The sequence below is a fragment of the Homo sapiens genome, chromosome 11 (assembly GCF_000001405.40).
Source record: "Homo sapiens chromosome 11, GRCh38.p14 Primary Assembly".
Lineage (NCBI taxonomy): Eukaryota > Metazoa > Chordata > Mammalia > Primates > Hominidae > Homo > Homo sapiens.
The window spans coordinates 76186325-76200012 of record NC_000011.10 but is presented as its reverse complement, the minus strand read 5'-3'; the positions used below and the strand labels follow the sequence as shown (position 1 = coordinate 76200012).

Here is a 13688-nt window from a genome sequence, read left to right as displayed (position 1 = left end):
CGTAGCACATATCATTCAGCCTTGGCAGGACCCTGAGAGGTCCTCACGTTGTAGTTGATGCCCAGAGAGGGGCAATAGTTTGCCCAAGTTTGCACAGCACATAGAGGACAGAGCTTGAGTGAGAACCCAGGCCTTCTCACTCCGTCTGGTCCAATACTTGCTGGGCAACAAGCGGGGGACTTAGCTTCATCTATGAATTTTTTGTTTGTTTGTTTTGTTTTTTGAGATGGAGCCTCACTCTATCGCCAGGCTGGAGTGCAGTGTCACAATCTTGGCTCACTGCAATCTCTGCCTCCCAGGTCCTGCCTCAGCCTCTCAAGTAACTGGGACTACAGGCGCGCACCACCACGCCCAGCTAATTTTTTGTATTTTAGTAGAGACGGGGTTTCACCATATTGGCCAGAATGGTCTTGATCTTCTGACCTCATGATTTGCCCGCCTCAGCCTCCCAAATTGCTGGGATTACACATCTATGAATGTTTTAAACACTTTGCCTACGTTCTGTTATTTAAGTCTCACCATAGCCTTTTTTTTTTTTAAGTAGACAAGGTTTCACTGTGTCACCCAGACTGGAGTGCAGCAGTGTAATCATAGTTCACTGTAACCTCAAACCCCCGGGCTCAAGTGATCCTCTCAAGTAGTTCAGACTATAGGCATGCACCACAACACCCGGCTAATTTTTTTACTTTTTGGTAGAGACGGCTCTCACTATGTTGCCCAGGGTGGTCTTAAACTCCTGGCCTCAAAGGATCCTCCTACTTTGGCCTCAGAGTAGCTGAGATCATAGACATGAGCAACAACCCCCAGCCTCATCATAGCCTTTTGAAGTAGTAATTATTTCTATTTTATTTTATTTTAATTTATTTTATTTTATTTTTTTGAGACAGAGTCTCGTTCTATCGCCCAGGCTGGAGTGCAGTGGTGCAATCTCGGCTCACTGAAACCTCTGCCTCCTGGGTTCAAGCAATTCTGCCTCAGCCTCCTGAGCAGCTGGGATTACAGGCATGCGCCACCATGCCTGGCTAATTTTTGTATTTTTTGAGTAGATACAGGGTTTCACCACGTTAACCAGGCTGGTGTCAAACTCCTGACCTCAGATGATCTGCCCGCCTTGGCCTCCCAAAGTGCTGGGATATTACAGGTGTAAGCCACCGCGCCTGGCCTTATCATTTCTTTGTAACAGATGAGGAACATGAAGCCCAGAGAGGTTGGATAACTTACCTAGGTCACACAGCTGGTGTCCAAGGCTTGTGCTCTTCCTGGGGCTAGGCCAGGAGTGAGAACAGCTGGGTCATTGATTTATAATGATTGGTAGCTTTATCCAGCCATTAGACTAGGGCATCCTTGAGGAAAGGATCTATGTCATATTCATTACCAAATGAGTCTGGGAAGAGTTGGTGCTTAGTAAATACTTCTTCCACAAGCAGATCAAGTTCATTCATGTCCAGAAGCAGGGGGAAAGGCATTCCTGGCATCAGGAAAAGCTTGGGCAAAGGCATGGTGGCAAGACAGTTCCTTTCAGAGAAGTCAAGAACCTGGTGTAGCTGGATGTCAGGATGAGGATGGGAGGCTGGCGAGAGCTGGGAGGCCAGGCTTTGAGGGGCCCTGAATGTCAAGCAGCAGCCCTTGGCCTTGACTAGGCAGGTCCAGGGAGGCTGCCCACAGGTAGGAAAAGACCACCAAGGTGGTAACTGTAGTAGCTTCCATCACTGACCACTGACCACAGAGTGTCAGCCCTGGGCAGAACGTGTGACACACATTGTCTGATTTAAGCCCTCAGTTAATACTGGGAGGTTGATGGGAGAGGAGAGGTTAAGTGACTTGCTCAAGGTCGCAAGGGGAGTGATATAGCCTGGAGTCTACCCAAGCCTGTGCAGTGCCCTTGGCAATGGGCTGCCTCCCTCAGAACTCAGCCCAGGGGTTCTGGGATCTCTACCTTGCCAGGTCTCAGCCCTGACCCTGGGTGAGGACCGCTGGGTCCACAGCAGGCGGGGCACTCAGCACTTCTGGCTGCAGAATGGCCCCCTCTTGGTTCCCTGTCGCTCCTGGGTCTCTGCTGGGTTGCTGAAGGCCAGCTGACTCTGGGTTCCAGACGGCCTCTGCTGTGGGTGGGGGCACTGAGAGTGAGTCCATGTGGAGTCCTTTAAGGTTGTGGGGTCCTTAAGTGCTGCCGATGCAGGCTGCCCTCAGAGAAGGCCTAGGAGAACGGCAGATCGAGGAGGGGCCTGGTCCTAGAGTCTTGGAACCCAGGTGCCCAGAGCTGGGATCTGGGAGGCTCTTGGGTCCTCTAACATCACCAGGGTTCATAGGGACCCACCAGGCTAACGTTTCCCAAAGCACGGACGAGGTGGATGAAGTCAGCAGCCTCAAGCAAAGGGCTCTGTGCTCACTGTACTCAATAGACTCCCTGAGTTGAATTTTAACACCAAGCCTGTTGCTTTGCTGCAGGACTTCTCAGGACCTTTAAAACGTAAATGTGCATCCTGACTCTCCAAGCAGGGACATAGTACATCGTGTTCCCCACATGGATCCCTTTTGTCAGAGTGTCTCACTGGAGCCCATTCTGGGAAATACGGTTTATAAGTACAAACACTGAGGCCCAAAGAGGGGCAATGAATTATCTAAGATCACACAACAAGTTAATGGCCAAGTCTGAATTAGATACTAAATTTTTCAAGTTCCAGGTCATCACAAAACTGAGTGGCTCTTTAATCCTTTATTAGGAATTCCTTGCATGGATATGGGACTTTACAACATAATAAATGGGTTTAGTAATCACATGAAACAATGATGGAAAACTCCTACCACATGTAGCGCATCTAGAAAGGCTTCAGTTAATAGTATGTATAATTATTGTGATCATAAGAATCTAGCATTTCTCATGGTTTCTGGCACGTAGCTGCTCAGTGTTGAATGAATGTTGAATAAAGACTAATAATTCACAGCTGTGTGAGAACTAAATCAGGTGGTGGAGGTGAGCTTTGTGAACTGTACAGCTGTTTTGTTAGTATAATTATCCTAAAGCTTAGGTAGGATGGGGTTGTGATCCTATGTTATGAATAGGGCCTGAGGCCCAGAGAGGGACGGTGATGTGCCCAAGGTCACATGGGGTGTGAGGGGGATCCACTGCTCTGCCAGCTGACAGTTTGGGAGCCTTTTTTGGAAGGAGCCAGGAAACCAGGAGGCAAAGTCCATTGAGGGAAAGGCTGGGGCCAGAAGGGCGGGTGGAGGCCATGTGGCCCCTGACAACCCTGTCTCTCCTTCCATCGGTCATGGCCTTTCCATGGTGTGCAGGGCGCTGTCCAAGACACCATCGGCCCTGGCACTGAACCAGACGCAACACTGCAAGCAGCTGGAGGGTCTGGTGTCTGCACAGGTGCAGCTGTGCCGCAGCAACCTGGAGCTCATGCACACGGTGGTGCACGCCGCCCGCGAGGTCATGAAGGCCTGTCGCCGGGCCTTTGCCGACATGCGCTGGAACTGCTCCTCCATTGAGCTCGCCCCCAACTATTTGCTTGACCTGGAGAGAGGTAGGAGCTGGCGAGGCTGCTGAATGCATGTGGGTGCGGGTGAAGGAATTCAGGCATCAATCTGTGTGTGTTTAGATGGAGGGATGGGTTCATGGGTGGGTGGATGATGGATTCATGGATGAATGACGGGTGGATACAGGCATGGATGGATGGGGTATGGGTGGATGAATTAATCATAAATATGGGTGTGCAGGCATGAATTCACAAACGAGTAAACACAGATGAGTGGCGATATCATCACAGGGGAGCCTGGACAGCACATGTACCTGTGTGCCCCCATGCATGAATGAAGGAATGACCCAAGGCTGTGGCCTGCTGTACGTGAGGCCACATGTCAGGGAGGCTCCTGGGAGGGGAGTCTAGAAACAATAATGCTATAGAGCCCACCCGCAGGGCAGACAGGTGTGCCACAGGTAACACTGAACCAGACTGCAGAAACTGTTGCACCATGCGCAAAGCAGTGTGGGGACAGAACATCTCGAAGACTTCCTGCAGGAGGTGGCTTCTGGTGGGGGGAGTCTGGGGGACCCATGTACAATAGGGAGGCTTTTGACAGACAGAAGCGCCCCAGTAGGTGTAATCTCTCCCCTGCACTATGATAACTTTTCTTGTGGGTCCTAAACAGTAGCAGCTAATGTTTGACAAACATTCTTTTCTTACTGAATTATTTGAACTCCAGAGGCAGCCTGTGAGGTAGCTGTTATCACCCGTATTCTACAGTTAAGGAAACTGAGGCTGGAGAAGGGAAAGTGGCTTGCTAGTTAAGAGACAGAGCCATGGCTCGGACCGATGGCCAGGGCCCCGCAGCTGAGGCTCCTGAGTGCCGTATTCGTTTCCCAGGGCTGCTGTCCAATGGGCCACAACTGGCTGCTTGCAAACAACAGATGTGTATTGTCTCAAAGTTCTGGAGGCCGGAAGTCTGAAATCGAGGTGTCAGCAGGGCCGTGCTCCCCCTGAAGGTGCTAGGGAGGATCCTTCCTGGCCCGTCCCTAGCTCCTGGTGGCGGCCCGCCATCCTTGGCATTCTTTAGCTTGCAGCTGTGTCACTGCGGTCTCTGCCTCTGTCATCACAGGGCAAGCTCCCTCTTTGTGTGTCTGTGTATCCGAAATTCCCCTTTCTTATAAGGACACCAGCCACTGGCCTAGGGCCCACCCTGATCCGGTATGACCTCGTCTCAGCCCCATTACATCTGCAAAGACCCCACTTCGTCATAAGATTATGCTCACAGGTACAGGGGTCAGGACTTGAACACATCCTTCGGGGGGACACAGGTCCACGCATAGCAGGTCCTTTGTGCATTTGTCTGGCGCATCAGGAGCTCAGAGCCTGGGCCTCACTACTGTAAAGCATCCCCTAATGCCAGTGCAGGGCAAGTGGGTGGAAGCCTAGAGCTGTGAGTGTGAGTAGGAGGACGTGGGTGAGGGCATGCCTGTGGGTGTGGGGTCCTGAGTGTGGCTGTCAGCTGGTATATTCAGAAGGAATTGGGGAAGCAGGGGTGACATCTCAATGGCCCTAGTGCCGACCCCTGCTGGCGTCACCTTGGTTACAGCAGGGTGTGGGCGAAGGTGGAGGACCTCTGACCTGGGCAGGGTCCTAGCCCTGGATCAGCGTCGGCTGACCTTCCCCTCCCACCCTCAGGGACCCGGGAGTCGGCCTTCGTGTATGCGCTGTCGGCCGCCGCCATCAGCCACGCCATCGCCCGGGCCTGCACCTCCGGCGACCTGCCCGGCTGCTCCTGCGGCCCCGTCCCAGGTGAGCCACCCGGGCCCGGGAACCGCTGGGGAGGATGTGCGGACAACCTCAGCTACGGGCTCCTCATGGGGGCCAAGTTTTCCGATGCTCCTATGAAGGTGAAAAAAACAGGATCCCAAGCCAATAAACTGATGCGTCTACACAACAGTGAAGTGGGGAGACAGGTAACCACCCACCCCACCCACCCCCAGATAGTTGTGCTTGTGCCATTGGCCAGAAAAGGGCCACCCAGCTTGCCCCAGTGGTGGGGGGTGCGGGGGGACGGGCCCTGACTGGCCCACACCTGATGTGCCTCGCACCATCCTCATCCTCAGCCCTTCCCTCGCCAGCTGCTTGGGGCTTGTGTCGCTTTCCTCCTCCAAGGCGTCCACTGGGGTTTGGGTTGTCCAAGCAGAGGGAGCACTGAACTAGGAGTCAGGAGCTCTGAGTTCTGGCCTTGGCTCTGGCACTAAACTCGCTTAGGGACTTTGGGAAAGTCAGTGCCTCTCCAGCCTCAGCTGTTCCCATCTATGAAATGGTGGGGGTGACCTGGTGCTGAGTCCCCATCTGTCATGTTCCTCAAGCTGTCCCTCCCTCCAGGGCGTGGAGAGGGCTGTGGTCAACAGAAGCCTATGCTAAGGGGTCATCTGCTTGGATTTAACGGGGACTCCCACCCACACCAACCGAAGCTGCTAGAACAGTTTCCTCCGGCATTCATTATTATCAGGTTTTCATTCATTCCTCACCTCACTGCCCAAAAGACTGGGGTGAGTGGACCTGTCAGTGAATGAACTTTCTACCAATCTGTGTTGCAGACACTGTGTTTGGTGCTCCATACCTTTCTGTTCTGTGGTCACAGAACAACTCGGGCAGGCCCTGTTGTCCCCTTTTTACAGATAGGGAAAGGACCGTGAATGGCAGGGATGGCCACTTGGCCAGAGCTGCATGTGCAGATGGCATCTCATCAGCTCCTCCCTGCACCCTTTAGCCCCATTTTACAGAGGCACTAAGTGAGGCTGAAAGCACTTCAGCGGCTCAGCCCCACGGCACAATAGAGCCCAGGACTGTGGGACTCCCAAGTCCAGGGGCTTCAGTGGCCTCACCTGTTCTCAAGGGTCTTCCTTGTGTGAGGATTCTAGGGTGTCCAGGCCATCCTTGGACAGTTAGGGAAACTGAAGCCAAATCATACTGTGGGTCTATAGCAGAGCCTGGCCAGGGACTCAGGACTCCTGCCTCCTGGCCCTGCTGACCTGTCCCCTACCCCTGCTCATGAAACCCAGTGGGAGCCCTTCGCCAGCGGCCAGCACGCCCACCACCATGGCCACGCCCACCACCATGGCCACGCCCACCATCATGGCCAGGCCAGCTGGGCGCCACATGCTGCCAGGGCCACAGCCCTCCTCTCCCCACCATGCAGCCCAAAGAGGGTCCTCCGCCTCAGGGCAAATCAGGCCCGTCCCTGAGGCCATCTGCAAAAGGGGCCAGTGTCCCTGCAAGGTGCAGGGCTGCGTGAGGATTAAATGAGATCACAAACGTGTTTAATACACCAGGAAGCTCCAAGCCCCTTTCCCCAGCTTATGCTGAGCAGCAGAACCTAGTTCACCTGCCCTCGATGGCTCACCAGTGCCTCGGTGCCCTGCAGTCCTGCTGACTTCATCCCTGTGACCTCCACAGACAATTCCAGATTGGGTACCCAAACACACTCCCTGGGTCCTCACTTCCTGGCACTGGTGAGGGGAAGGAGTCCTGGGACCTTGGCCAGCTCCCCCACTAACTCACTTGTCTTGGGCAAGTCCTGCCCACTCTGTGCCTCAGTTTCCCCATGTCTCTGATGCAGGGGATGGGCCCAGGTTCCCATGACTCTTGCAGGTCTCTGTACAGGAGAGGCAGGAGGGTAGGCCTGGGCAGAGGAATCCAAGTCTTGTGTTGAAAGAAGGGTTTAAAAGGCAGAACTGGAAGGCCCGTAGAAGGCATCTAACTTCTGCCCCTCAGGTATGAATAGGGAAACTGAGGGCCAGGGAAGCTGGTGGGCCCGAGTCCTTTTTGAAGCCAGGGCAAGAGTCTCCCCAAGCCTCTGAGCCCAAGGGGGCTCCACCATAGTTATTACTTAAATGGATTTTTCAAAACCAATATTGATTTAACTTTTATGGTTCACAAAACCCTTTTGTGTGTGTGATCTCATTTCATCCTTACAGCTCTCTGCAAGGCAGGAATTATGTGCTCGCCTTGCACGAAAGAAGACAGAGGCCCTGAGTGGCGATGTGGCTTGCTGAGGGTGGCCTGGCAGGAGCACTGGCAGTGGGGGGAAAGTCAGCCAGGCGGCGGGGAGGTGCCCCCTGCACTTACCCCTGCCTCTTCTCCCCTTCCTACCCTCCTCCCTTCCTTCCTTCTCTTCTTTTCTGCCTTTTTTCCAGCAAGCATTTAGTGAGAGAAAAAGCATGAAACAATTAAAAGCCACCACTTTTGGAATCAGCCTCAGATCTGGGTTCAAATTCAAGCTCCATGATTTTCTATCTGCACCCTTGGGCATGAGACTTAGCCTCTCTGAGCTATTGTTTCTTCTTTTTAAAATGGGGGAAGTAAGGATACCTCCCTTGGGCCGTTGTGGTGATCAATCTCCATTATGTGTTAGAGCGCTTGGTATACAGCAGGTGCTAAACAATGGCATCCCTATCCCTGAAAATGCCTTTCTTCCTGCCCCTCAGCTGTGCCCCCCACGGTTGCAGGAAGGCCCACACCACCTCCAAGCTTTAAAGCAAAAAGCTCTATCACTTCAGACTCCAGCAGGCAGTGACTCCCTGAGAGCACCCAGCCATGGGTGGGTGGGGCTGGGGTCCCGGGTCAGGCCAGGGAGGGGACTCTGGCCACCCAGCTGACGCCTTCCCCTGTCCGCAGGCTCTGCGCGCCTCTCTGGAAATGAAGTGTAAGTGCCATGGGGTGTCTGGCTCCTGCTCCATCCGCACCTGCTGGAAGGGGCTGCAGGAGCTGCAGGATGTGGCTGCTGACCTCAAGACCCGATACCTGTCGGCCACCAAGGTAGTGCACCGACCCATGGGCACCCGCAAGCACCTGGTGCCCAAGGACCTGGATATCCGGCCTGTGAAGGACTCGGAACTCGTCTATCTGCAGAGCTCACCTGACTTCTGCATGAAGAATGAGAAGGTGGGCTCCCACGGGACACAAGACAGGTGAGGCCTGCTGCCACCTTGGTGGGAAAGGGTCACTGGTGTTGCACATACTGTTCCCCAGCTCAGGGTCACGCACACAGCAGGGACTCAGGTGGCATGTGGGGAATGGAGACCCTGCTCAGTTGAGAGAGTTGGCCCCAGGACTGCTAAGTGGAGATGCCAGGGTTCTAGGGTCCCCTGCAGAGCTGCTGGGAGCGCCTGTTCTGCACTGCACCTGGCAGGGGCCAGTGAATGTAGGCTGATGGGGGGCCCCTGCTCCACCTTCCCCAGCTGGGGAGACAGATGGGAAGAGACAATGACGCTACTGGGGGACAGGACAGGAACGAGGCTGCCCAACGTAAGATAGGTGCTCAGAAAATGTTTGTCAGATGAACAGATGACGGGTAAAGGCCATACAGCCTGCTCGTTGCACAGCAAAGGGACTGAGGTGCCAGGGGAGATGGGGACAGCCTACACTGTGTGAGGGAGAGTGATGTCTGCCTGCATTCCGTGCAGCAACACTGCCCCTGTGTCCTCGCCCCTGTGAGCCCTCTCCCCGCACGCCCCCATCTCCTCCTGGGGACCCCAGGCCTGGAACCCTACCACAGCCCCAGTCACAGCTGCTGCAGCAGGCTCAGGACAGGAGAGTGAGGGAGCCAGGGGTGACTGCAGACCTACCGTGTGATGGGTGGGGCTGGTGAGGACTGCACAAGCAGCATTTCCCAAAGACGGTGCTGGCGAAAGCTGGTCCCGATCTCCTACGAGAGAAAGAGCTCTGTCGTCACATGCATTTGGGAAATTCTCTGGCGATTCACAAGGCACTAGAACATATGAAAGGCTCTGAGGAATCTGCAGTAAAGGATCTGTTTAAGCCAGTGTTTCCCAGAGGTGTTTGGCCATGGAACTCTTTTATTAAGGAGCCCCTAATAGCATTCCACAAAACTCGTGTTCTCGGGGTTAAAAGAATATTGCACCAGAGAGTGGGTGTCTGGGAACGTGTCTGGCACATAGTTGGTGCACAGCCAGCGTTGACTTCCTCCGCAGCCCACGTTCCTGTCTCCAGGAGAGGGAGGGGGTGGGCTGGGGGGCTGCATCCCCACAGGCCAGGGCAGCAGGCTCTGTGAGGAGGCCCAGGCTCCCATCTGGAGGCCAGATTGAGGGGGTCGGCAGAGGGAAGATGGAACCAGGTCAGGCCAGGGAGACAGGAAGGAGCCAGAGGCTGGGCTGAGGTAGATGGGGATGGGGGAGTTAGAGGAGGATTCTAGAACATGGAGGGCTGCAGGAGGCCCACGGAGGACCCGAGAGTGAAGAAAGGGTCTTCCTGGATCCATATGTGGCTCTGTGTGTGTCAGGGAGGGCACAGCTTCCCAACAGGGGGACTTGAGCACATCCCTCACTGATCTGAAGCTCAGCCTCGTCTTCCGCACAGTGGGGAGGGCACCCCACCGCTCACAGGGTTGTCGAGTGATCTCCAAGCGCACTTACCTAGCATCTCCCCTCTCCCCTCCCCTCCCGGGCAGTCTCCCCTCCCCCGTGCCCTCAGGCTGCCAGGCCCCTCTCTCCCAGCTGCCCCTCACTCCTCATGAGGAGGCCCCGCCCTCAGCACCACTTACCCTCCTGGCTTCCTTCACAGCCCCCACAGGTTTCCTGCCTTGCGGCTCCCGGTCCTTCCCTAGGGGGACCCTTGCAGGCATCTGTATTAGTTGGCTTTTGCTGCAGTAACAAACACCCCCAATTTCTCAGTAGTTCATAACCACAAGCATTTCTTGTGCCCATTACATGAGACTGCATGTCAGCTGTGTCTCTGCCTGGCTCTGGCAGGTGCTGGTGGGAGGTCCCCAAGGGCTCAGGTCGTGACAGAAAAGCCTGGTGTGAAGGGAGCCCAGAGGGTCCCTGATCCAGCCTGGACATCAAGGAAGGCTTCCTAGAGGAGGGGAAATTTAAGATTGATGATGAGGTTGGGGGTTGGGTGTAAGTGAGCCTGGTGAACTGTGAAAGGCGTGTGCATGCGGGGTATCTCTAGAGGCTGCCTCCCTCTCTGCGGAAGATGCCTTGCAGCCTCCTCAAATCTAACCTGGGGAAACCAAGGCCTAATCTGCAGACAATATTCCAAACCCTAGCCCTCTTGTCATATTTCTTCCAGAGGCCTGCACCTCTGAAACCCACCCCCACCCACAGTCTGAGCCACCCTGTACCCTGGGAGCCAGGCATCCAACGGCCCTTCCCTGGGCCTATGGCCCCACTGGCCCCAATCCTGGTCCCAGGCACCCGGGCCTTGTCTGGATCTGACACTGGAGGCCAAGTTTTCAGACAATGCATGTCAGGGATCCAGAAATTTAAAAAAGAACTCTGCCTCCTTCCTACCCTTCAGGGTAGAGTGCTCAGCCAGAGCCTTCAGGAGAAGGCTGAGGGGGAACTCATGGATGCCAAGTGGCTAAACAAAGCCCAAAAAGGTTCAGTGACCTGCCTTAAGTCACACAGCCACTAAGTGGCAGAGCTGGGGCTTGAACCCAGGTCTGTCCAGCTCTGGGGCAGGTGTTCTGGGAACTGCTGGCAGCCCCCACTTGCTGGTCACCGGCTGACTCTCCCCAGGCGCTCCCCTCCTTCTGCCCATGGCCCCTTCCGGCTCAGGCCTGGCCTCTCCCCCAGCACTGATCAGCCTCCTCCGGGCCTCCAGCCCTCCCCTTCCATCTGCTCTCACTGTTCTGAGGGCAGGCCTCGTCTTCTGCCTTTGCCCAGGCTGTTCCCTCTACCCCAGCACTCCTTCCCTCCTCTGCACGGCGGAGTCTTGCTTATCCTTCATGAATGGCCTAGATGGCCTTTCCTCTTCCAGGAGGCCCTGCTGAACTCTCACAGACCTTGTACTCACCACGGGCAAGGCCCCTCTCCCTTCTGTGTCTGTTTCCCCATCAGTAAATATGAGGATTGCATTCGGTCATCTCTAGGACTTTCCCATCTTGGACATTCTGGGATTCCTCGGCCCACATGTGGGGACCCTTTGTCCCTGTCAGTGCCCCAGCCCCCTGCTGCTCTGTCCCCAACTACATCTCATGAAAACACTCCCTGTCTAGCCTCAGCCCAGCTAGAGGAGCCACCAGTCTGAACAGATGATTTGTCACTAGACAGAAGAACTGAGAGCAGTGGAAGGATGTTTGCATTTTATAGGGACCTTCAATGTCTTCGCATCCCACATTTGGGAAGAAATGCAGCCCCTGCTGGCTCCCATGCCCCACCCTTTAGGGTAGGGAGAGCAAGTCAGGGCCTTAGTTTTAGTCCCCAAGTTTAAGCCTCTGCCCTTTGCTGAGCCTGTTTTCATCTGCATAATGGACGTAATCATTCCACTGACCCAAGGGCCCTACAGGCCTCCACTAAGATAAGACACTGGAGGGAGAGCCTGACCCACAGGAGGCACATGGCCAACAGACCCCTATTCCTCCACGAGCAGCGTGTCTGATGCCCAGTGGGGGTTCGAGTATTTCAGCATTTATCCTAGGATTCTAAAAATCAAATGATCTTGACATCTCTCATAATATTTAATTAAAGATTAAATATGGCTGTGTGTGGTGGCACACGCCTGTAATCCCAGCTACTCGGGAGGCTGAGGCAAGAGAATCGCTTGAACCCAGGAGGCAGAGGTTGCAGTGAGCTGAGATTGCACCACTGCACTCCAGCCTGGGCAACAGAGCGAGACTCTGTAAAAGGTTACACATAAAGATAGGCTTATTAGATTGGTTGGAGGGTCCTTCCAGTATTTAGAAGTAGAAGAAATAGAAAAAAGCTATCTCCAAGACAACAAAACAAGGCTGGGCACAGCAGCTCATGCCTGTAATCCTAGCACTTTGGAAGGCTGAGGTGGGAGGATTGCTTGAGCCTAGGAGTTCAAGACCAGCCTGAGCAATATAGTGGGATTCCATCGCTACAAAAATAAAAAATTAGCCGGACATGGTGGTGTGTGCCTGTAGTCCCAGCTACTCAGGAGGCCAGGGTGGGAGGAGCACTTGAGCCGGGGGCCTGGGTGGTGGGGAAGGCGGGGGTCAAGGCTGCAGGGAGCCATGATCACAACCACTGCACTCCAGCCTGGGCAACAGAGTGAGACCCCATCTCAAAAAAATAAAAGAAAACAGCCCCATCATTTTGGTAACCCCTTATTAGAAATATAGGGAAAAGTTAGAAGTACCTTTAGGTAAGAGGATTATTTAAAATTCCCCAAAGATCAAGACAGCTTCTAAGAAGGGCTGAGTCGGTGGCCATGGGAGACGCTGCCGGCTGCCTGGCTGGGAGTCATGGGGTGTTGGTGGGGTGGTGACCAAGGCATGCACTGACCTCCTTCCTGCCCCCACAATAGGCAGTGCAACAAGACATCCAACGGAAGCGACAGCTGCGACCTTATGTGCTGCGGGCGTGGCTACAACCCCTACACAGACCGCGTGGTCGAGCGGTGCCACTGTAAGTACCACTGGTGCTGCTACGTCACCTGCCGCAGGTGTGAGCGTACCGTGGAGCGCTATGTCTGCAAGTGAGGCCCTGCCCTCCGCCCCACGCAGGAGCGAGGACTCTGCTCAAGGACCCTCAGCAACTGGGGCCAGGGGCCTGGAGACACTCCATGGAGCTCTGCTTGTGAATTCCAGATGCCAGGCATGGGAGGCGGCTTGTGCTTTGCCTTCACTTGGAAGCCACCAGGAACAGAAGGTCTGGCCACCCTGGAAGGAGGGCAGGACATCAAAGGAAACCGACAAGATTAAAAATAACTTGGCAGCCTGAGGCTCTGGAGTGCCCACAGGCTGGTGTAAGGAGCGGGGCTTGGGATCGGTGAGACTGATACAGACTTGACCTTTCAGGGCCACAGAGACCAGCCTCCGGGAAGGGGTCTGCCCGCCTTCTTCAGAATGTTCTGCGGGACCCCCTGGCCCACCCTGGGGTCTGAGCCTGCTGGGCCCACCACATGGAATCACTAGCTTGGGTTGTAAATGTTTTCTTTTGTTTTTTGCTTTTTCTTCCTTTGGGATGTGGAAGCTACAGAAATATTTATAAAACATAGCTTTTTCTTTGGGGTGGCACTTCTCAATTCCTCTTTATATATTTTATATATATAAATATATATGTATATATATAATGATCTCTATTTTAAAACTAGCTTTTTAAGCAGCTGTATGAAATAAATGCTGAGTGAGCCCCAGCCCGCCCCTGCAGTTCCCGGCCTCGTCAAGTGAACTCGGCAGACCCTGGGGCTGGCAGAGGGAGCTCTCCAGTTTCCAGGCAA

At 54.4% G+C, this 13688-nt stretch overlaps 1 protein-coding gene across 8 annotated transcripts in view, besides 1 other annotated feature; it reads left to right on the top strand.

Moving 5' to 3' along the window:
- Nucleotides 1-13688, top strand: part of WNT11 (Wnt family member 11) — a 24437-nt gene extending 10749 nt beyond the window's left edge. For 4 of the 8 annotated variants that reach the window (XM_011545238.2, XM_011545240.3, XM_011545239.3 and 1 more), the window contains 4 exons: nt 3295-3530; nt 5139-5446; nt 8157-8449; nt 12774-13688. In XM_011545238.2, coding sequence (XP_011543540.1) covers nt 3295-3530; nt 5139-5446; nt 8157-8449; nt 12774-12948 — 1012 coding nt within the window. In that variant the 3' untranslated portion in view covers nt 12949-13688. Of the gene's footprint in view, nt 1-3294; nt 3531-5138; nt 5447-8156; nt 8450-12773 lie in introns of those variants that run through there. The other 4 variants (XM_005274231.2, XM_047427547.1, NM_004626.3 and 1 more) reach the window with 2 other exon arrangements.
- Nucleotides 12552-13331: an enhancer, noted in NCBI's record as "H3K4me1 hESC enhancer chr11:75897726-75898505 (GRCh37/hg19 assembly coordinates)". NCBI's record gives its function as "activates a minimal SCP1, AML or CMV promoter by ChIP-STARR-seq in naive H9 embryonic stem cells {active_cell/tissue: H9 hESC(naive)}" and the evidence as "EXISTENCE:reporter gene assay evidence [ECO:0000049][PMID:30033119]".